The sequence below is a fragment of the Homo sapiens genome, chromosome 14 (assembly GCF_000001405.40).
Source record: "Homo sapiens chromosome 14, GRCh38.p14 Primary Assembly".
Classification (NCBI taxonomy): Eukaryota; Metazoa; Chordata; class Mammalia; order Primates; family Hominidae; genus Homo; species Homo sapiens.
The window spans coordinates 99,301,100-99,323,837 of NC_000014.9; the positions used below are offsets into that span (position 1 = coordinate 99,301,100).

A 22,738-nucleotide genomic window follows, 5' to 3' on the forward strand; every position below is an offset into this window, starting at 1 on the left:
CCTGTCTGTACAAAAAATTTGAAAATTAGCCGGGCATGGTGGCATATACCTGTAGTCTTCGCTACTCAGAAGGCTGAGGCAAAATGATCACTTGAGTCCAGGAGTTCAAGGTTATAGTAAGTTATGATCACACCACTGCACTCCAGCCTGGGCAACAGAGTGAAACTCTGTCTCTTAAAAAAACAAGAAGAAGAAAAAGAAAAGAAAAAGAGGAGGTGGAAGAGGAAAAAGAAGAAGAAAAAATAAAGATAAATTTGGTGCTTTAATAGATTAAATGAAAACATTGTCTTAATGAGTGAACAAATAGAAAATTTTAACAGAGAAAATGAAACTTTAGAAAATCTAGTACATAATTTTTCATTTTCCATTTGAAATGGAAAATGAAGCACTTACTAGATATGCTTAAAAACAGATTGGAGATGGAAGAAGGAAAATATCAGTGAACTTGAAGATAAATTAATAAAAATCATTCAATCTAAGGCAGAGAGAAAACTGATTGAAGGAAAATGAACATCAGAGGACTTTGAGAAAATATCAAGAAGTCCAACATAGATGTAATTGGAGTTCAGGAATAAAGCAGAGAGAGAATGGGACTAAAAAATGCTTGAATAGGCCGGGTGCGGTGGCTCACGCCTGTAATCCCAGCACTTTGGGAGGCCGAGGCGGGCGGATCACGAGGTCAGGAGATCAAGACCATCCCGGCTAAAACGGTGAAACCCCGTCTCTACTAAAAATACAAAAAATTAGCCGGGAGTAGTGGCGGGCGCCTGTAGTCCCAGCTACTTGGGAGGCTGAGGCAGGAGAATGGCGTGAACCCGGGAGGCGGAGCTTGCAGTGAGCCGAGATCCCGCCACTGCACTCCAGCCTGGGCGACAGAGCGAGACTCCGTCTCAAAAAAAAAAAAAAAAAAAAAAAAAAAAAATGCTTGAATAAATAATGACAAAAAGTTCCCACATTTGATGAAAAATATTAAGTTATAGACCAAAAAGCTAAACAAATCCTAAGCAGGATTAATACAAAGGAAATGCTACTTTGACACCCCATAGTCAAAAGACTGAAAACAAGATAGAGATAAATTCTTGAAAGTAGCCAAGAAAAATGAGAGAAAACAGAATAAAATTAACCACTGACTTCTCATCAGAAACAGTGAAGAACAGGATGTATTTAAATTACATATTTAAAGTACTCAAAGAAAAATAAAACTGCCAACAAAAAATTCCATATCCAGCAAAATAATCCTTTTAAAATGCAAGCCCCACAAGAGAAAAAACGTGAGATAATTAGTCCTACATACAAGAAATGCTAAAAGGCTGGCTGAAGGGAAACAATACCAGATGGTAATTTGAATTTATAGGAAAGAATAAAGTATACCAAAACACAAAATATGTGGATAAATACTATGGATATATATTTTTTCTTCTCTTAATGTCTTTGAAAGGCATATGATTGTTTGAAGCAACATTAAAAATATTGTATTGTGGGTTTATAATGAGTATAGATATTGTATTGTGGGTTTATAATAAAAAATATTGTATTGTGGGTTTATAATGAATATAGATGTAATATATGCTATGATAGCTTTAAATAAAACCATTGTTGGAAAGTTCCTACATTTTATCTGAAGTATTTCAATACAAACTTGAAGACTGTGATAAGTTAAACATACTTATTGTAATCTTTGGAACAATCATTAAAAATGTTACTACATAGCTATAAAGCCAATAAAGAATAAATAAAACACCAAAAATATAATTAACACAGAAGAAGACAAACAGAAGAATAATTTAAAAAGAGAAAATGTATAGAAAACAGATACCAAAATGATAGACATAAATCTTAACAAACTGATAATTAGGCTAACTATAAATATATCACACATTAAAATCAAAAGGCAAAGACTGTAAAACTAGATAAAAATACAAAACCCAGCTAAATATTGTTTACAAGAGTTACACTTTAAATACAATGACATGAATAGTTTGAAAGTACAATGGTGTCAAAAGATGTATTATGTAAACAGTGAGCATAAGAAAGGCAGGGCAGCTGTATTAATGTTGGACAAAATAAACTTCAAATAAGAAGTACTACTAAGCAGAAAAAGGACATCCTATTATGATAAAATAATAGGGCAGGAAGATGTAAAAATAATAAATATATGTGTACTTAAGAAAAGAGCTTCAAAACTACCTATCAGTACTATGCTCACTACCTGGGTAATGGGATCATTCATACCCCAAACCTCAGCATCAAAATATCTACATAACAAACCTGCACATGTACTCCTAAGCCTAAAATAAAAGTTGAAATATAGAAGTTAAAAATTTTTTAAAAAACTTCAAAATACAGGAAGAAAAAACTGATAGAACTAAAGGGAAGAAGAGTCAGATCAAAAATCACAGTTAGAAATTTTAAGACATGTTTCTAAAATCATTGATAGAATGGACCAGGAAAAAAATTGATAAGGAGTAAGAAGCTGTAATAATACTCACAAGTGCATTAACTAATTGATATTTATAACATAGTATACCCAATATCTACAGAGTACATGTTCTGTTTAAGTGTATATGAAATGCTCTCCAAGATAGATCCTACACTGGACCTTAAAATAAATCTCGATAATTTTCAAAAGACTGATATCTCACAGAGCATATTTTCTGACTAAGTTGAAATTATGAAATTAAATTAGTTTTCAGTAACACAACGAGATGCCTAGAAAAGCCCCAAGAATTTGGAAATCAAACAACCTATGGGTAAAAAAAGAAATTACAATCAAAATAGAAAATATTTTTAACTGATTAATAGCCCAAACACAGCATAAGAAAAGGTGTGAGATACAGGTGTGAGACACAGATACAATGGTGCTGAGAGAAAAACTTATAGTTTTAAAAGCATATAGTATAAAAGAAGAAAGGCCTACAATCTATGCTGTAAGCTTCTACGTTAAGAAACTTTTTTTAAAAGAAGAAATTAAAAGTCAGCAGAAGAAAATTTAAGTAATAAAGAACAGAAATCAATGGAATTTAAAAATCAGATGAACAATAGAGAAAAGAAGTAAAACTAAAAGCTTTTTCTTTGAAAAGAATCGATAAAATTACTAAACCTCTAGCTAAAGTAGTAAAGAAAAAATGACCTATTTCAAGAAGGAAAGTGGGGACACAAATACAGATCCTACAGATGTTAAAAAACAAAACAAAAAAACAAGCAGTGTTGTGCTGGTAAGCCAGCTCTTTGTGGCAGGAGAAAAAGATTTGATTTGTAGTGTTTGCCAATTTCCCTGTTGTAAATGCTCCCATCATGGCTGCTTTCAAACTATCAATGTGACGTCACTGAGTGCAGAGTTAGAAAGGGATATTCACATCAACTCCCATGAGCCTTTATAATCTGACTCCATGCATCAATATCCCTCACAAAAATAGACATAAAATGCCTACCAAAATACTATAAATAACTTTATGCCAATAAATTCAACAAGTTAGGTGAAATACACAAACTTTTTGAAAGACATGTTAGCTCAGGCTCCTATATCCAAATACCATAGACAGGGTGGCTTAAACAACAGACATTATTTCTCACAGCTCTGGAAGATGGGAATTCCAAGATCAAGATGCCAGTAGATGCAATTCCTGGTAAGAGATCTCTTCCTTGCTTGCAGACAGCTAACTTCTCCATGTGTCCTGATATGTTGGAGAGAGAGAGAGAGAGCATGCACACTCTGGTCTCTCTTCCTCTTCATATCAGGACACTAATCCCATCCTGAGGACCCCACCTTCATACCTTATTTAAACCTAATTGCCTCCCAAAGCTCCACTGGGGTTAAGGCTTCAACATATGAATTTAGGGGGTGATATGGTTTGGCTCTGTGTCCCCACCCAAATCTCATCTTGATTTGTAATACCCACATGTCAAGGGAGGGACCTGCTGGGAGTTGATTGGATCATGGGGGCAGTTTCCCCCATGCTGTTCTCGTGACAATGAGTTTTCACCAGATCTTATGGTTTAAAAATGCTTGGCAGTTCCCCCCACCCCTTTTTTTTTCTCTCTCTCTCTCCTGCAGCCATATAAGAATGTGCTTGCTTCTCCCCCACTTTCTGCCATGAAAGTAAGTTTCCTGAAGCCTCCCCATGCAGAACTGTGAGCCAATTAAACCTCCTTTCTTTATAAATTACCCAGTCTCAGGTATTCTTTATAGCCGTGTGGAAACAGACTAATACAGGGAGACATAAACATTCATTCCATAATAACATAATTACCAAACTAACTCAAAGTGACATGATCACAGCTCACCTCAGCCTTGACCTTCTGGACTCAATCAATCCTCCCATCTCAGCCTCCCAAGTAGCTGGGACTACAGGAGCATGCCGCCACACCTGGCTAATTTTTGTTTGTTTGTTTGTTTGTTCTTTGTAGAGACGGGGTCTAACCATGTTGCCCAGCCTGGTCTCAAACTCCTGAGCTCAGGCGATCCTCCTGCCTCAGCTGCTCAAAGTGCTGGGATTGTAGGCATCAGCCACCATGCCTGGCCCTAATAACTATTAAAGGAATTGAATTTGTGATTTAAAAACTCTTCCCCAAAAAAACGATGCCCAGGTAAATACAACTTCACTGGTGATTTCTATTAAACATTTAAGAAGTAGATAGTACCAGTCCTACACAAATTTTTTCAGGAAGTACAGAAGGAAGAAATACTTTCTAACTCATTTTGTGAGGCCTTAATACCAAAATCAAAGACATTACAGGAAAAAGAAACTATAAACCAAATGCCTTAGAAAACTACACAAAATCCTAGATAAATATTAGCCACTTTGGGAGGCCAAAGTGGGCCGATCACTTGAGCCTAGGAGTTTGAGGTCAGCCTGAGCAAAATGGTGAAATCCCATCTCTACCAAAAAAAAAAAAAAATATATATATATATATACACACAAACACACACACACACACACACACACACAAATTAGCTGAGCGTGGTGACACACGCCTGTTGTCCCAGCTACTCAAGAGGCTGAGGTGGGAGGATCACTTGAGCCCAGGAGGCAGAGGTTGCGGTCAGCTGAGATAGCACCACTGCACTTCAGGTTAGGCAACTGAGCAAGATCCCATCTCAGAAATAAATAAGTAAATACACATTAGCAAACTGAATCTAGCAATACATACAAATGATAATACATCATAACCAAATAGGGTTTGTCCCAGAAATGAAAAGTTGGTTTCAGATTTAAAAATCAATCAATATAGTTCACTATCTTCACAGAATAAAGGAGTCAAACTATATGATCATCTCAGTAAATGCAGAAAAAGTATTGAAATATTCAACACTTATTCATGATTAAAAACTCAGCAAACTATGAATAGAAGGGAACTTCCCCATCCTGATAGAGGGTATCTAGAGAAAACCATAGCTAGCGTCATACTTAATGTCAAAAGACTGTGTGCTTTTCTTCTAAGGTTCGGATCAAGGCAAGAATGTTGACTACAACTGAATATATGCATCCCCTATAATTTGCTCCTCAGCAGAAATGTGAACATACTGGTACCAGAAGATATGTTGAAGATTGTTCATAACTGTGTTATTTATTATAGCCCCAAACTAGAAACAACTCAAATGTCTATGAATAATAGAATGGGTACATAAATCATGGCATGGTCATACAATGGAATGCTATAGATCAGTGAGAAAACGTGACCACTGCTACATGCAACAACACGGATAAAGTTCATGAAGCCAGATACAAATACCTACATACTATCTGCTCATTTACACAAAGCTCAAAAACAAGAAAACTAGGCTGGGTGCAGGGGCTCACACCTGTAATCCCAGCACTTTGGGAGGCCAAAGCAAGAGGATCACTTGAGCCCAGGAGTTTGAGACCAGCCTGAGCAACATGGCAAGACGAAATATAAAAAAATTAGCCGGCATGGTGGTGCATGCCTGTAGTCCCAACTGAGGTGGGAGGATCACTTGAGCCTGGGAAATCAAGGCTGCAGTGAGCCATGATTGTACTGCATTTCATCCTGGGTGACAGAGCAAGACTCTGTCTCAAAAAAAAAAAAAAAAAAACAAGCAAAATAGGTCATGGTGATAGAAATCAGGAAAGAGGTAACATCTGAGGGACAGCAATGACTAGATGGGGCTATGAGGGAGCTTCTGGGATGCCAATAATTTTCTATTTATTAATATATGTGGTGGTTACACAAGTGGACTGGCTTTCAAGAAACTCATTAAGTTGTATGGTATGGATTGTGTATGTTCTTCTATGTTCGTTACACTTCAATTTTTTAAATTACTTTAAAAATTATGGTGCATCCACAATATAAAATGCCACATAGCATTCTTTAATAAGATAACTCTCTGTGTATATACTAATTATTAAAATCTCTTCAAATCACTTTAAGGGAAATTTTTTATATATAAGATATAAATTATAAAAATATATAATTTTTTATAACATGATATTAAATAGTCTATTTATTATACATTTAAGAGAGTGTGTCTTAGTCCATTTTCTGTTGCTTATAACAGAACATCTAAAACTGGATAATTTATAAAGAAAATGAATTTATTTCTTAATAATTATGGAGGCTGGGAAGTCCAAGAACAACGGGCTGTATCTGGTGAGGGCCTTCTTGCTGGTGCAGACTTTCTGCAGAGTTCCAAGGTGGCACAAACATCGCATGGAGAGGGGCTGAGCATGCGAGCTCAGGTCTCTCTTCCCCTCCTTTTTTTTTTTTTTTCTTTCTTTTTTTTTTTGAGACAGGGTCTTGCTCTGTAACCCAGGCTGGAGTGCAGCAGTGCCATTTCAGCTTACCACAACCTCCACCTCTTGGGTTCAAGCGATTCTCATGCTTCAGCCTCCCACATAGCTGGGACTACAGGTGCATACCACCACGCCCAGCTAGTTTTTGTATTTTTAGTAGAGATGTGGTTTCACTATGTTGGCCAGGCTGGTTTTGAACTCCTGGCCCCAAGTGATATGCCCGCCTCAGCCTCCAAAAGTGCTGAGATTATAGATATGAGCCACCGTACCCAGCCTCTCCTCCTCTTTTATGAAGCCACCAGTCCCATTCCCATGCTAACCCATTCATTAATTCATGGATGGACAAATCAGTTCATGAGAGCAGAGCCCCTCATGACCCAATCATCTTTTAAAGGCCCCACCTCTCAATATTGTCACATTGGGGATTAAGTTTCAATATTAGTTTCGGAGGGGACAAATATTCAAACCACAGCAGAGAGAGAGAGCAAAAGTGTATACATACATTTTAGATGGATAGATAGATACTAAGTTGATAGTTTTGAATGAATTGCCAACACATAATAAACGAAATTCTAAAGTGAGAGTGCTGACCAAGATGAAAATTTTCAAAGGAAGTATTTTAATCAGTGGCATATTGAGAGTGGGCTTGTGAGAGTAGTGTACCCTGTGTGCAGGAAGTTGTCTATAGATAATTTTAAAACAATAATAAAACTAACTAAAAGTGGATCTGCTTTTTATTAATATCATGCATTGGCAATTCTAAATAATGCCAGTGATAAGATATTTCTCTAGGAAAAAAAATTTTTGTTTATTTAAGTACTACATAATTACTGTTATTACAGTTGAATTTTACTAATATGTATGCAAGTTTCAAATTAGCACATTTTTATTACTTATCCTTTATTAAATATTGTATCTTACATGGAAGTTAATATAAAGAACTTCTAGTTAAGTGATTTGCATCCAAAATACATTAGCTCAATTACAGTGTTTATTTAGATGGCAATTTTATAGTGGCTGGAAATCATTCAAGTTTGCAAGCTGAGAGGTGTAGTATTTTGTTTGATAAGTGCAAATTTTCATTCATAAATTTAAAAATTTACTAAATTTAAATATATTTAACATTAAATTTATTTTTTAAATTGTTTTAGAGCTAAAAAATGAAGAAAATAATAATTACTGATACTGAAAATAATTTTGTCATATTGAGGAGGGGAAGTGTTTAAAATGATCTGCTTCAGGTCTCTACTGCCTACTTCACAAAGATGCTGTAAAGATTAAATGAGATAATGCATATAAATTTCATTGCATAGCATCTAGTGTATAGTCGATGCTCAATGCATGGTAGCCTTTGTTATTAACATTCATAAGCAGTTGGTCCCCTACCCACCTTCCTCAACCACTTGTCCCTCTATTTCCAGATTTTGTTGGGCAAGTTGAGAGTCAAAGTCTGATATAGTTTGGATATTTGTCCCAGCCCAAATCTCCTGCTGAATTGTAATTCCCACTGCTGGAGGTGGGGCCTGGTGGGAGATGTTTAGATCATGGGGGTGGATCCCTCATGGCTTGAGATGCTGTCTTCATGATAGTGAGTTCTCACAAGATCTGGTCATTTAAAAGTGTGTGGCACCCTGCCCCTCCAACTCTCTCTGTCTCTCGCTCGCTCCTGCTCTGCCATGTGAAATGCCTGCTCCCCCTTTGCCTCTTGTCATGAGTGGAAGCTTTCTGAGGCCTCCCCAGAAGCAGATGCCACCATGCTTCCTGTAAAGCAGTGGTCCCCAACCTTTTTAGCACCAGGGACCAGTTTTGTAGAAGACAATATTTCCATGGATAAGGTGTGGGGCAGATGGTTTCAAGCGCATGACGTTAATTGTGCATTTTATTTCTATTATCATTACATAATCACCATAATGTAGAATCAGAGGGAGTCCTGAGCTTGTTTTCCTGCAACTAGATGGTCCCATCTGGGAGTGATGGGAGATAGCAACAGATCATCAGGCATTAGATTCTCATAAGGAGTGCACAACCTAGATCTCTTGCAAGCACAGTTCACAATAGGGTTCTCATTCCTGTGAGAGTCTAATGCTGCTGCTGATCTGACAGGACTGGGAGTTCAGCTCACCTCCTGCTGTGTGGCCCAGTTCCTAACAGGCCATGGACCAGCACAGGGGTTTGGGGACCCCTGCTGTAAAGCATTGCAGAACCATGAGCCAATTAAAACTCTTTTCTTTATAAATTACTCAGTCTCAGGCATTTCTTTATAGCAATGCAAGAACAACCTAATACAAAGTATCAACTACATGCTAAGCCCTATAGTTTGTGTTTGATATGCATTATCTAATTTATTTCTCACAAAAACCTGATAAGCACTATTTTTATCCCTACCTGACATATTATAAAACTACCCTCAGAGAGTCGAAGTAACTTTCTCAAACTCATTCAGCTGATAAATGGAAGTTTTATAATCTAAACCTAAGTTTTTCTGATATGAATCCTCAGTCTTTCTATATCATCATTCTGCAAGTTGTATGCACCATCATCATCATCATCATCATCCTCATCCATCACTATCACTTACGAGCACCCATTCTATATACATGCACCAGGTATTATGCATATGACTATATATGACTTTGTTCTACAGAGTTGATATAAAGCAATTTTTGCACATATAGTTACCACTTTTCTTAGTCCTTCATTCCTTCCTGCACTTCATGCCTTCCATCTGGGATGATTTTCCATCTATTTAAAGCATATTCTTTAAAATTCCTTTACTGAGAGTCCATTGGTGGTAAATTTTCTGTTTTTGTCTATGTGAAAATGACTGAATTTAATCTTCATTTTGCAATATATTTTTGCTGAGTACAGAATTGCAGGTTGCCAGTGATTTTTTTCTCAGCGCATTGAAAATATCATTCCATGGTCTTCTGGCTGACTCCTTTTGGTTTTGCACAAAAGTCAACTGTCAGCCTGTCCCTCTTCAATGTATAATCTATCTTTTCTCTCGTACTTAGGACATCTTTCCTTTATTTTTGGTTCCCTGCAGTTTCACTTATGTTTTTTCTTTTTTTGAGATGGAGTCTCGCTCTGTTGCCCAGGCTGGAGTGCAGTGGTGCAATCTCGGCTCATTGCAACCTCTGCCTCCCGGGTTCAAGCAATTCTCCTGCCTCACCCTCCTGAGTAGCTGGGATTACAGGCTTACAGGCATGCACCACCATGCCTGGCTAATTTTTTTTGTATTTTTAGTAGCGACCGAGTTTCACCATATTGGCCAGGCTGCTCTGGAAGTCCTGACCTTGTGACCTGCCCGCCTTGGCCTCCCTAAGTGCTGGGATTACAGGTGTGAGCCACTGCGCCTAGACTATGTTTTTTCTTTTAACTTAACTTGGAACGTATCGGGCCTCTGAGGATTGTTCTTTCTTCAATTCTGAAAAGTTCTCAGCTGTTATCTGCTCACGTTATTGGCTTTGCCCTACCACATACCTCCATCTCCCTTCTTTCCTCCCACTCTTTTCTTTTCTTCTAACCTCTCCTTTTGCAGCTGTGATTAGACTACAGTTAAACTTCTCACTCAGTCTTTTAGATATCTTAACCTCTTGTCCATATTTGCCATATCTTTGTCTCTTTGGGCTGATTTTAAATAATTTTCTTATTTCTGTCTTCAAATTCACTAATTCTCTCTTAAGCTTTGTCCAAACTACTATTAAATCTGTCCATTGAATTTTTAGCTCCAGTTATTCTTTTCATTTCTAGTTCATTTGCTAATCTACTTACTTCTTACTCATCTTAAGCCTCCTGTTTTAATTATATTAAACATATTATAATTTTTTCATTCTTTGTATAATAATCCTAATATCTGAAGTTCTTGTAAGTCTGACTACATAGTGTCTCATTCTACTTTCTCTCTTTCTCTCTCTTTCTCCCCCATTTCCTTCTTTGACTAGTGGTTTTACATAGGAATTGCTTATTTTCTATGGAACTTTAACTGTAGAAAGTTTTTAAAGCCTGGGATAAAGGTGGCTTCCTCCAGAGAGAATTTGTGTTCTTTTCTGTTGAGCACCTGGGATGTTTACCCACATGTGGTAACTTTAAGCTAAAGTCTTGGCTTGAAGTTCTTAGGGCTCCCAGGTTGTGTGAATTCAGGCTACAAATTGGCCTTAGGCACAAATTCTTGGAGGTGGTTTTATTTTCCCTTTCCCCCAGCATCAAGCTTCAAGACAGGCAGTTTTCTTTGCAGTCCCAAGAAGAGGGCATCAGCTTCTAGTTCACTCTTGTATGGAGGTCTACCCCTGGCTCACGGAGGTCTACCCCTGGCTCCATGTTGGATTTTCCACTTGGGCAGGTCCTGTTGTGCCGTCTTACTCCCTATCCTCAGGACATGTGAAATCAATGCTCAGGTTGCCCTAGTTCACCAAGTACCTCCAAATCAAAAGCTGGCTTCAGTCCGCTGCCGACCTTTCTGAGTGTCTGTCTTCGCCTGCTCCCTGTACTGAGTATGCCTTACTGTCTTGTCAGCTATGGATACTTTTAAGAGTTTTTCAGTCTAAGATTTTTAGTTGTTTCCAGTAGGATGGTTATCTACCTGGTCCACAGTGTTGCCAGCAACGGAAGTGCCGGGGCCTCAATTTTCCCAACCTCAAAATGGGCTTCTGCCCCCCCAGGGGTATTAAGGGGACCAAATGAGCTAACAGTTTTGAAAATCACACTTGGACTTGGTGCTGTAAGAGGGAAAGTGCATAGCCAGACACCCTCTAGCCCTTGCCTCCCCAGGAGACAAAGAGGAGAGTTTTGTGATGGTTTTGTTGTGAGAAACGGGTCAAATGCCTTCAGGAAGCAGTGGAAATACACACAGAGGTCCACAATCCAGGGCTTCCATGGCTCCAACTCCAAGAAAAGGCAGTCACTTGTTGGCACCACACGGAGCCTTTTCATTGTCCACTCACCTCTGGCATCTTAGTGCAGGACACCCCATCCCCTGCAAGCAATGAGCTTTGGAGCACAGGCTTCAGAGCAAGGCAGATGTGAGCCGCGCCTTGAAGGGGGATTCAGATGGGGTTAGGGAGAGAGTAGGGGACAGTGTCCCAGGCAGAGGGGAAGGCAGGAATGAAAGAGGCCTGCAAGATGTGCCGCCCTGGTGTGGTGTGCTCCCTGGTGTGGTGCGGCAGTGACAGGCACACCTAGAAAGTTAGGTTGGGCCAGGCGCGGTGGCTCACACCTGTAATCCCAGCACTTTGGGAGGCCGAGACAGGCGGACCACTTGAGGTCAGGAGTTCAAGACCAACCTGGCCAACATGGTGAAACCCCATCTCTACTAAAAATACAAAATTAGCCAGGCATGCATGGTGGCATGTGCCAGTAATCCCAGCTACTCAGGAGGCTGAGGCAGGAGAATTGCTTGAACCTGGGAGGTGGAGGTTGCAGTGAGCTAAGATGGCACCACTGCACTCCAGCCTGGGTGACAGAGCAAGACTCTATCTCAAAAAAAAGAGAGTTAGGTTGTCGTTGGATGACTGATGACTTGTTAGCCAGACTCTGCAGTTCCCACTGTGTCCTCTGGCACTGGGGAGCCCCTGCAGGTTTGTGAGCAGAGGAGTAACACAATCAGGCAAACTGAGGCAGACACTGTCTGCTTCACTCATTCATTTATGTCCAATGCCCAGCACATTGCAGGCACTCAATGAACACCTGGTGAATAAATAAATGAAGGAAGCCTATGGGCCTGGCCTCTTTAAATTGAGGAATCCAGATAATACATCTCTGTTAGTTTAGTCTGGACATATTTGGACAGGACATTAAATAATTTTAATAAAAATTACCAAGCACACATCCAGTGGTTCCCTGCACCACTCATGCTGTTGTTGACTAGTCCCTGGCAATCCCGCAGTTTCCTTCTTGTCCTTGAAGAGCTTCTCCAGACATTCTGTGCGATTCCCTAGATATCTTGTTACTTTCCTAACAAGTCTCACTTTCATGCTGCCTTTTTCAGCCCAACACAGCTTCCCCAAGTCAATTGTCTTTGAGGAGCACAGCCCACCCTTAACCATAGAGATGAGCTCAAGACCCAGACTGAGGCTTCTGATCGTGGTGATTGGTCCAGATGTGGCCACAGGATGCAAGGAGCCAGTTGGATCCTTCTCCAGAATGTTTTCTAGGTGGAGCTGGTGGAGAAGAGTCAACTTTCTACTCAAGTCATGAAGCTGGAAGGGGATGATTCTGGAGCTGCCTGGGGCTGTAAACTCCAACCCTCCCCCGCCACCAACCCCCCAACCCATTCCGCACAAAAAGGCAGCATGCAGAGAGGAACAGAGATTAAGAACATGGGGAGAGAGAGAGAGAGAAAGAGAGAAGATTCAATGTTGCCCAGTGTCCCATGCCCAGGTGTACCCGAAGTCAACTTTACCCCTGACTCAGAGGGTGTTTTATCACTTGAACCAATAAATGATACTCTTTTTCTCCTTAAGCCAATTTAAGTTGAGAGTCTGTCATTTGTGATCAAAAGGATTTTAGCTAATTCAGGAAATTCTGCATGATGTGTTACTTTGAGGATATTTATTCACTTATTCATGTATTTATTCAACCAGTTGCAGACTAAATGTGGACAGTTTTGCACAAATTTCCCCAGGCAACTAGTAGCACAGAATTTTTCCAGACATCATCTCTACCACCCTCCTTCCACCTGCCTTCCTTCCAACTATTGGGACCTCTGGCCAGGCACTCTGGCCTCCAAGTGACTGTGAGATGATGAGATAGGATAATTGTGCCACCAAGCAGTGCTGAGCTTTTCCAGGCTCTGAATGCACCCCGCCACACACACACAAACACACACTCTCTCTGTGTCTCCCTCTCTCTCTCTCTCCACTAGGCGGTGGCATCTTGCCCCCTGGAGATGCCTGGAGCTCCACTAAAGGTGTGAGGCCAACCTCTCCAAGCCCACCTAGCATGCATCTTCATGACGGTGGGCTTATCACTCCCCCTCACTGAAACCTGAAGACGCCAAGGCTCAGAGAGGCTTAGGATGTGCCCGTATTCACACAGCTCCCAGGCGGTGGAGCTAGAAACCGCCCAGGTTTCCCAAGCACATTTGGGGTCATCTATCGACTGTAAGGTTCGTGAGTGAGGATGAACAGAGATGACCTGGTTGCAGGCAGTGTGAGCTCTGCTGTTTCCTGCTGGGTGGTCTCAGGGAATTATTCAACCTGTCTGAGCCTCTGTTTTTACCTCTTTAGACCACAGCGTTGGTCAGTGCCTGGTGACATTAACTATTATTATTTGTACAGAATGGAGAACAGATTAGTGGGCTGGGGGAGGTGGAGGAAAGCAGAAGGGCATGGTATGAAGGGGCAGCCCCTGTGCCATAGGAAAGAGTTCGGCATCTTGATTGTGGTGGGGCGTTACATAAATCTATATGTGTGATAAAATGTCATCAAATTATACACAAAGTCATACCAGAAAAGAAGTGCACGCAAAAAGTGTGAAATCCGAGTTAAGGTCTGACTAGACTACAAGTCTAGTTCATTGTATTGTACCAGTCAGTATCCTGGTTTTGGTAATGTACACAATTATGCAAGATGTCACCGCGGGGGGAAGCTGGGGATGAGTAAATGGGACCTCTCTCCTATTTTTGCAACTTCCTGTGAATCAATAATCATCTTAAATTTTTTTTTATTATTATTTTAAGACAGAGCCTCGCTCTGTTGCCTAGGCTGGAGTGCAATGGCGTGATCTCAGCTCACTGCAACCTCTGCCTCCTGGGTTCAAGTGATTCTCCTGCCTCAGCTTCCCGAGTAGCTGGGACTACAGGCACGTGTCACCACACCTAGTTACTTTTTTATATTTTTGGTAGAGACGGGGTTTCACTATGTTGGCCAGGCTGGTCTTGAACTCCTGACCTCAAGTGATCCACCCGCCTAGGCCTCCCAAAGTGCTGGGATTACAGGCGTGAGCCACCATGCCTGGCCTATCTTAAATACATTTTTTTTAAATAAAATACAGGCCATAAAAAAAACCCAGAAATACAAGGAGTGTCTGTGGCTTTGTTGCTGTAGATAACTTGCAATTTTCACATATCACTCCTTTGAAATTGCAGTAGTCGGTAGACTTGTGGCTAGAACTTGTTATTTAATTCACTCGCAAAGGAACACATGTATTATCTCAAATTTGTTTTTAAATATTTTGATCGCTGTATTTCAATATAATTAGTTTCCTTTGTGATCTTCTGGTTTTATTTAATGCATTAAAAAAACATTCTGAAAAGAGGGTCCTTCAACGTCCTCAGGTCCACAGGACAGGAAGGATTCATAACCCTGTCCTGGAGTGCAGATGTAAGCGAAGCACCCTGATCCAGATGAGGAAACTGAGGTTCAGGAAGGAGGTTAATGGCCCCTGGAGGACTCTGATTCCCAGACTCCCTCGGAAGAAATATATGTCTTCCAGAAGAAAGAGAAAGCTCCTCCCCATTGCTGCCAGCCACCTCTGGGTGGCTGTTTACTCTGCCAGGTGGGGTCCCTCCCAGGGTCCACTCTGAGGCCGCATGATGGCCTTTGAGACGGAGAACAATGCCACATTGTGGCCCTGGCTTCAGATAAAAGAGAAACTTGGCCCAACTGCCCAGGCAAGAGCGACTGTCCCCTTAATATTAATGCAGGGAGGGCGTGCCCTCGTCCACACCCTCACCACTCTCGCCGTTGTGGCGGTTGTGGGGAGTGTGATCCCACTGCCTTCTAATGGGTGGTCAAAGGCCAGCGCGCCGGGCACTTTTATTGTCAGCCGCCTCAGTAATCTTTAACCTCTGCTGGCCAAAGGGCTGAAACCCAGAAAGACAAAACAAACATGGGTTGGGCACCAGAGAAGAGTGACTCAAGTGAACCAAGGCTGGAGGGAGCTAGTTCACCCCTTCATCCCTGCCAAGCCTTCCGACACCTCTAAGCCCACAATGCTGGTCAGAAGGTAGGCAACACATGCCCAAGGCCCACCCACCACGATGCCATTAGCACAACTCCCTTGGTGGTGGAGGGGGTAGGACCCCTGGGTTCGGGGAAAGAGGGCGGATACACTCCAGCCATACTCACCCCTGGTCTGTGGCCAAGGCCAGGCCTGCTCCAGGAGAAACCACTTCTGCGTGGGTCAGCCAAGAAGGAAAAGGGGCCCAGAGGGGTAGTGGAGTGCATGGTCTGGGGCATCAGACAGGCCCAGGGCCAAGACTGATCCCACTGCACCATTCATCTGATTGCCCTCCTGGGGCCTCAGTTTCCTCACCTGTGAAATGGGGATGCTGATGACTCCTTTCAGTGTCATTGCCAGCCGCTGCCACTTGCTGATCACTTGCCACTAGCAAGAACGTACCTTTCTTCAATTCCCCCAACACCTGAGAAGTGGGTGTCACTGTCCTCATTTAAACAGCAAACCAGAGAGGAGTGGACTGGCCCAATGGAGACACAGAGATCTGAACCCAAATCTCCATGATTCCAAAGCTTTCCTCTCTCCACCTGGCTGCATGTGGAGAGCCCTTTCAGCAAACAGGTGCTGATCCCACTCATGGTGGCCGTGAGGATCGTGGCTCCATTTGGCAGTTGAGGACACTGAGGCTCCACCCCCATGCGAGGGAAGAGTGGGTTCTGGTTGAAACCTGATTCATTTGATCACAAGACCTGTGAAGTTTCCAGTGCATCCTGCTTGCTCTTAAACTGAGGAGGGCTGTCCACATTCATAGGCAACTATTCTTGTCACCAGCATGGGAAGGTTTAAACAGAACCAGGACCTGAACCCATTTTAAGGTGCAAAGACAGAGACCCAGGAGTCCCTAAATGGTCCCAGGTGACTCAGAGGTGCCTGTGCCCATCAACTGCCTCACTCTCTGATCACAGCAGTTGTCACCGTACAGAAGAAGAACAGATCAGGAGGAATGGAGCCAATCCAACCCCATGCCCACCTCCCGAGGCACTGGCTTGTGGACAGGGGGAAATGCGTTTGAGGTCGACAAGGATGGGATGAGTCTGGATCCGATTAGCCTTCCAATCCCTTTCCTCCACATCACTGGGCAGCCATGGGTCTCTGCTGGCAGAATTTCCCCCTCTCTGGCCATACAGGGTTGGGGCCCCAGCCAAGCCCTCACTAGCCCTGCTGATAAAGTTACCTTCCGGGCCTGGGGCAGAGGGTCAGGAAAAGCCAGCAGCAGTTTGAAGAAGGTTATGGTCTTAGGGACCTGCACAAGGGTGGGGCATGGGGAGGGGGAAAGATAAGAGTGGACAATAAAAGATAGGCAGAAAGAGACAGTGAGGGGGAGCTGGCATGGAAACCTGGCCCCTGTGGTGCCATTTCTTAATAACCCATACAGGGCATGAGAGCCTTATCACGCCCTCCCAATCTGTAAATGATCATCCAGAGTCCACCAGTGGCCCCTGAAACGACAGCTGTGCTGGCCACACAATGGGAACTGAGCCAGGGATGGAGAGGCAGGGAAGCTGGGTTCCTGGCCAGGAGGTCCTGAGCTGGCAGCTGCTGAGTGACAGGACCCTGGATGTTTCCTGCAAAGTGTGTTCTCTTCTAGGCCAAGGCAGCCTCTGTCCAGGTGCGGGAGAGAAGCTGTCACCTCCCGGGCAGGTGACAGTCCAAGGCAATGCAGGCTGTCAGGGGTTATTCCTTGTAGCTTAAAATGTCACTGCACCACAAGGTTTCACATGCCATGGGACAGTGCTCTGTGCACCTCTGTGAATAACTCAACTGCAGCCCAAACAGCCATGGCACACAGTAGGTGTGCGCTAAATGGTGGCTACTGTGATCATTCATTGCGCTCCTTGCAGTGGGCCTGTAGGATGTGTCTCTTGGGGGCACGGTGAGAATGCATCTGGTGGGCCCCTGACCTCCAGGGGCTCATTCGACCTATGGCTTCCTGCCCCTGCTGTGCTCTGAAATCCATCACCGCATTCTTGACAAGGCCAAGACCTGGCTTCCCACAGGCCACTCCCAGCCAAGGGCCAAGCACACCCCGTCTTTGTGCTCACCCTGGAGCCCCGCAGGCCTGGCTGCCTCTCCCCAGGGTCTTCCTGAAATATGTGAGAATGTCGCAGATACGGAGTGAGGCTTCTCTTGGCACCCTGGAACTGGCAGCCAGGGCCCAAAGCCACCTGAGGGGATTCTCTGTGTGCCACGACCTCCTCGTCCCATGGTTCATTCTCTGCCCTTCTCTGTCCTGCCTAAGGCCCAGGGGCAGACCTCACTCACGGCCTATACCACCTGGGGGACTCAGCCCTCTGGCTCCTGTCAGGCCCAGAGATGGGAAGCCCAGACTGGAGATGGGCAGAGAGAGAGGTCTGGGTATTTCTCCCCTGCTCCCTCCTTGGCTCAGCACCAAGATCCTCACAATGGCCTTGTCCTGTGACTCCAGCCTGTGTCGGGCCCCCTCCGGGTCTCCCTGGACTCTCCGTGCCTTCAGGCTGAGGGTCTCACAGCTTCCCACTGCAGCTGGCCCCTGGGTGAGGCCAGCTTTAAACCCGCTCCCACCTCTGCAAAAAGTCCCTGTGTTATACTCCCTTCTTGTGTGGGATTTTGTTCAAGGCAGGATCCGAACTGGTAGAACCACCATGATGAGGTGGCTCTGCATGTCTCCAAACCTCAGTTTCCTCATCTATAAAATCATAGACCGGGCATGGTGGGTCACGCTTGTAATCCCATCACTTTGGGAGGCCGAAGTGGGCGGATCACTAGTTCAGGAGTTTGAGACCAGCCTGACCAACATGGTGAAACCCCGTCTCTACTAAAAATACAAAAATTAGCCAGGCGTGGTGGCGGGTGCCTGTAATCCCAGCTACTCAGGAGGCTGAGGCAGGAGAATCGCTTGAACCCAGGAGGCAGAGGTTGCAGTGAGCTGAGATCTCACCACTGCACTCCAGCCTGGGTGACAGAGTGAGACCCCACCTAAAAAAATAAGGTCCTATGGGAATCATAATACCCCTTACCCCTGTCTTACACTGAGGATCGAATGGCTGGGAATATCCGTCTCCCCACGCGGGCTGTGGGCCTCCGAGGGCACAGACGCTGCCGTATTTTCCCTGCTAGCGTCTAGACAAAGCCTGGCATAGGAGGGAAGTCCTGGGAAGTGTTTTCTTAGCAAATGAATACAGTTATTCTACTTTACTTAATAATGTTTGACTTGTGATTTTTAAATAAAAGGTCAAAACATACAGATGAATTGCATCTTGTGGAAACCCAAATTTTAAGGGTTCCCTGCAGCATGGCGTGACAACGTGGAGTCTCAGTGAACCCACAGCACTGGTATTCAGGGAAATTCCCCTCCCTGCCCATTTTAAAACCCATGCAGAAAGCACCTAGCTCAATGTGGGTGTGGCCGAGGGCACTGCAAACTCTTCCTGCTCTCGCCACCAGGGGGCGCCACGCTAGCTGCTGAACCCTGGTCCTCCTGCCCCGCTCCACGTTGCACCAGGGTCGCTGTGCGCCGAGTGGCGGGCAGCGCCCGGGCACCAGGGTGGGAGTGGAGACTTCTGGGAGGGGCACAGGGTGGACTCGCCCCATCGGCTGAGTTGAATGGACTGAGGTGGCAGATGGGTTAGGAAGTATCACTCCCAAGGAAGTCAGGAGGCTTCTTGGGACACAGGGATGCCAGTGTCGGAGAGCCAGGGGCAGCTGCGCGGCGTTGCCTGCGGAGCCCTGCACACAGGGAGTGATTGGGGGCGGGGCGGGGCGGGGGTGGGGAGAAGGCGCACCCCCTCCGCAGGCCTTGGGGCTGGGAGGCCGAGGAGAGGTGGCCCGTGGGAGTCAGCGCTTGGGCAGCTGCCTGACTGACCGACCACAGGTGAGAAAACGCCCCGGCGCTAAGCGTAGGCCGAGTTCGCACCTCCACCCACCCGTGTGGCCTCTGCATCTACTTCCTCCCCTGACAGCCTTCAACAGTCAGGGCCCTGACCCCTCACGCTATCAGAGCCCCAGGAGGGGGTTCAGTGGGGAGGGTGAGCTTGCGCTGACCAGACACGCCAGATGGCCAATGGGCAGCTCCTTCCAAGGACCCGGGCACCCCACCCAGGCACACCTTCCCCACAGGGCTGCTGCACCTGCTCCGCCCAGCTGGGGTTCAACAGGAGGTCATGGTCCCGCTCATGTTCAAAGTGCAGGGCTCCGAGCCCCCAGCCAGCCCAGAGGAGGCCTCCCCTGTTTCCCAGGACGCTCTGCGGTGATGCCAAGGTCCCGGGCCACCTCCTCAGGCGCTCCATTGCTCTTCTCAGCCAGCGTGGGTGTGGATGTCACAACCACGTGGCACTGCCACCAAATCACACATGTGCCCATGCCGTCCTCACCCACCCTCAGTGATCAGCAGGTTCCTGGGCACACGGCTGGCTCCTGTGCAGCACCCGCAGGCTCGGGTCCTCGCCCAAACACAACCCAGGCACTACCGACCGTGCTCGGCAGGACCGGCCTTCACGCATTGTTCGCTCACCCAAGGTTTATTAAGGGTGGACACACATGCACACGTGCATGCACACTCACAGCCATGCACCCACGCACATGCATTCACACTCACGCACATGCATTCACACCCACGCACATGCACTCACACTCGCACCCACACACATGCACTCACACCCAGACACCCACGCACCCATGCACACACACACCCACACACACCTATACACATGCGCTCACACACACCCATACTCACAATTCAAGCATACTTATACATGTACTAACACTCCCACACACCCATGCACATGTACTCACACTAACACACGCACGCTCACACATGTACTGTCATACACACACGTACTCACACTCATGCACACACACACCCCTCACCCACAGGCACACCAAGAGCCCTGGGGGAGAAGAGTCTGAGAGGTTTCAGGCCCTGTTGCAGGATGTGTCTGCAGCCCCATTCTCTGTCTTCCCCACTCTCTGGTCCAGCCCTTGAGAGCAAGGACATTCCCTTCCTCTCTGTGCCAAGACACCCTCCCCAGTTCAGGCCCCAGGATGAGCAAATCACACTCCTTCCCCAGCAAACACTTTGGTCACCCTGGCCTGGTTACTGAAGCCTCTTCAGGAATCAAAGTGGCTCTGTGCTCCTGGACAGAGAACCTGACTGCAGGCTGATGGCCTGGGCTCACATCCTGTCCTCACCTGTCTGTTACTAACTGTAAGATCTTGGGCAAAACCCATCTAACATTTCTGAGCTTCAATTTCATTCCAAATACATAGAGGAAAACACACCTCTGTCGCCTCTTCTACTCTGACCTAATTGCACTTTATTTCAACTGCCACCTCCTCCTGGAAGCTCTCCTTGATCTCCCAGGCAGAGTCAATGCCTCCCTCTCTGGCCACATCATCCCCTATCACCTCCTGTTTCTGTCTCTGCCTGCTTGCCACGACCCCCTGAAGGCAGAGGCTGACGAGACCCCAATGCCCCTCACCAAAGCCACCCAGAGCCAGGCTGCAAAGCCCCCATCACTGACCATAGAAGGCACCGGAGGAAACCAGAAGGAGAGGGGGGACGGCCAGGCTGCGTGGGGGAGCCTCTGTCTCCCAAGCTGCATCTCCCGGCAACATGGAGGACGCTGATCTTCCACGTGTTTCGCTCTCTCCTCCCGCCCTGGCATTTGCCTGAAGATCAAACTTTGGGCTCGGCAGTGACCCCAGGACTCCATGGTTCTCTCTTCCTTCCAAGGCTCCAGGAAGCATCTTCTTACTCCAAGAAGTTTGGATCCTGCAGGGGAGATTCCTGGGGACTCTGTGAAGGGGACTCCCCCTCCCCACCGCAGTTCTCCCTCCCAGTCAGCCCTGTTCCCTGCCTCCAGTTCCCTGGGGGAGAAGAGAGGGTTTGGAAGAAGGTCTGGGAAGAGGCTGGGTGGCCTGAGACAAGGCCAGCCCCTGGCTCTGTCCAGCCGGTGTCCCCAGCCCTCCCCGCCCCCTGACGTGCACCTGGCCCTTGGCTCCTGACCTCTTCTTCCGGGGTCTTATGCAGTGCTGGTGCCCCTCCAAGCTCCTGCCTGCTGCATCTCCGACCCAGGCCCTGTCCCTGTGGACGGTGCTGGATGCCGGCCTCTGTGAGTCGTGTCCTAGCCTGATCCAGCCCCTCCTGACCCCAGGCCGGACATACCCAGTGCTCTGCCTGGCTGCCCTAGCCCAAAAAAGAACGTCTGGACACGTTCCTCCCTACCAAGCTGACGATGCGTCATCTGGAAAATCGTCTTGGCAAAGGCTGGTCTCCAGCCCTGTAGGAGTGAAGAGCAGAGACCACAGATCGGGACAGTGAGGTTTGAGCTTGGCCTCCCTGTGACGTCACCGCGGAACATGGGATTCTGTGTCCTCATCTGCGGAATGGGGACATTACCCAACCCAGGGCAGGTGCAGAAGCCCAAAGGACATATGTGCCCAGCCCCTCCCTCCCAATGACCCAGCGGCCCTGCCTGGGGAGACACTGGCTATGAATGGGGGTCCCAATTTGTTCACCTCCACTGTACCCCACACCCATCCCAGGACTAACACATTTCCAGATATTGTGACTAAGGACACAGGCTTGGCCAGACCTTAATTTGAGTACAGCTCCCTATGAATTTGCTGTGTGACCCAAGACAAGTTACTTAACCTCTCTGGGCCTCAGTGCTATCATCTGTAAAATGGGGATAATAATGGGGATTAAATGAAATAATGTGCATAAAATGCTTGGCACAGAGACTAAATGTTAGCTGATTACTATTGTTGGTATTATGATTATAAGTTATCTGTCTGGAAGACTGGGGGGCCAGGCTGCCCAGGCTCTATTTGTCTGAGGGACAGGGAAGCCTCCTGGGAAGGAACTTACTCTAAGGAAACACCAAGGCACAGAGTCCTTTGCCCAGGGAGGCAGGCCCTGGACACGTGAGTCTGGGCACAGGACAGTGGGTGCCTCTCACCCTTACTCCAGGGACTCATGGCTGCACCCAAGAGGGACCAAGCCGGGCCAAGGGATCAAGCGCGGCCAAGCCTTCCCCACACCTCTGTGG

General features: G+C 45.7%; 4 annotated features.

Annotated features, from left to right (window-relative positions):
* Positions 17,136–17,862: an enhancer, noted in NCBI's record as "H3K27ac-H3K4me1 hESC enhancer chr14:99784572-99785298 (GRCh37/hg19 assembly coordinates)". NCBI's record gives its function as "activates a minimal SCP1, AML or CMV promoter by ChIP-STARR-seq in primed H9 embryonic stem cells {active_cell/tissue: H9 hESC(primed)}" and the evidence as "EXISTENCE:reporter gene assay evidence [ECO:0000049][PMID:30033119]".
* Positions 19,158–19,786: an enhancer, noted in NCBI's record as "H3K4me1 hESC enhancer chr14:99786594-99787222 (GRCh37/hg19 assembly coordinates)". NCBI's record gives its function as "activates a minimal SCP1, AML or CMV promoter by ChIP-STARR-seq in naive H9 embryonic stem cells {active_cell/tissue: H9 hESC(naive)}" and the evidence as "EXISTENCE:reporter gene assay evidence [ECO:0000049][PMID:30033119]".
* Positions 19,787–20,414: an enhancer, noted in NCBI's record as "H3K4me1 hESC enhancer chr14:99787223-99787850 (GRCh37/hg19 assembly coordinates)". NCBI's record gives its function as "activates a minimal SCP1, AML or CMV promoter by ChIP-STARR-seq in naive and primed H9 embryonic stem cells {active_cell/tissue: H9 hESC(naive and primed)}" and the evidence as "EXISTENCE:reporter gene assay evidence [ECO:0000049][PMID:30033119]".
* Positions 21,477–22,237: an enhancer, noted in NCBI's record as "H3K4me1 hESC enhancer chr14:99788913-99789673 (GRCh37/hg19 assembly coordinates)". NCBI's record gives its function as "activates a minimal SCP1, AML or CMV promoter by ChIP-STARR-seq in naive H9 embryonic stem cells {active_cell/tissue: H9 hESC(naive)}" and the evidence as "EXISTENCE:reporter gene assay evidence [ECO:0000049][PMID:30033119]".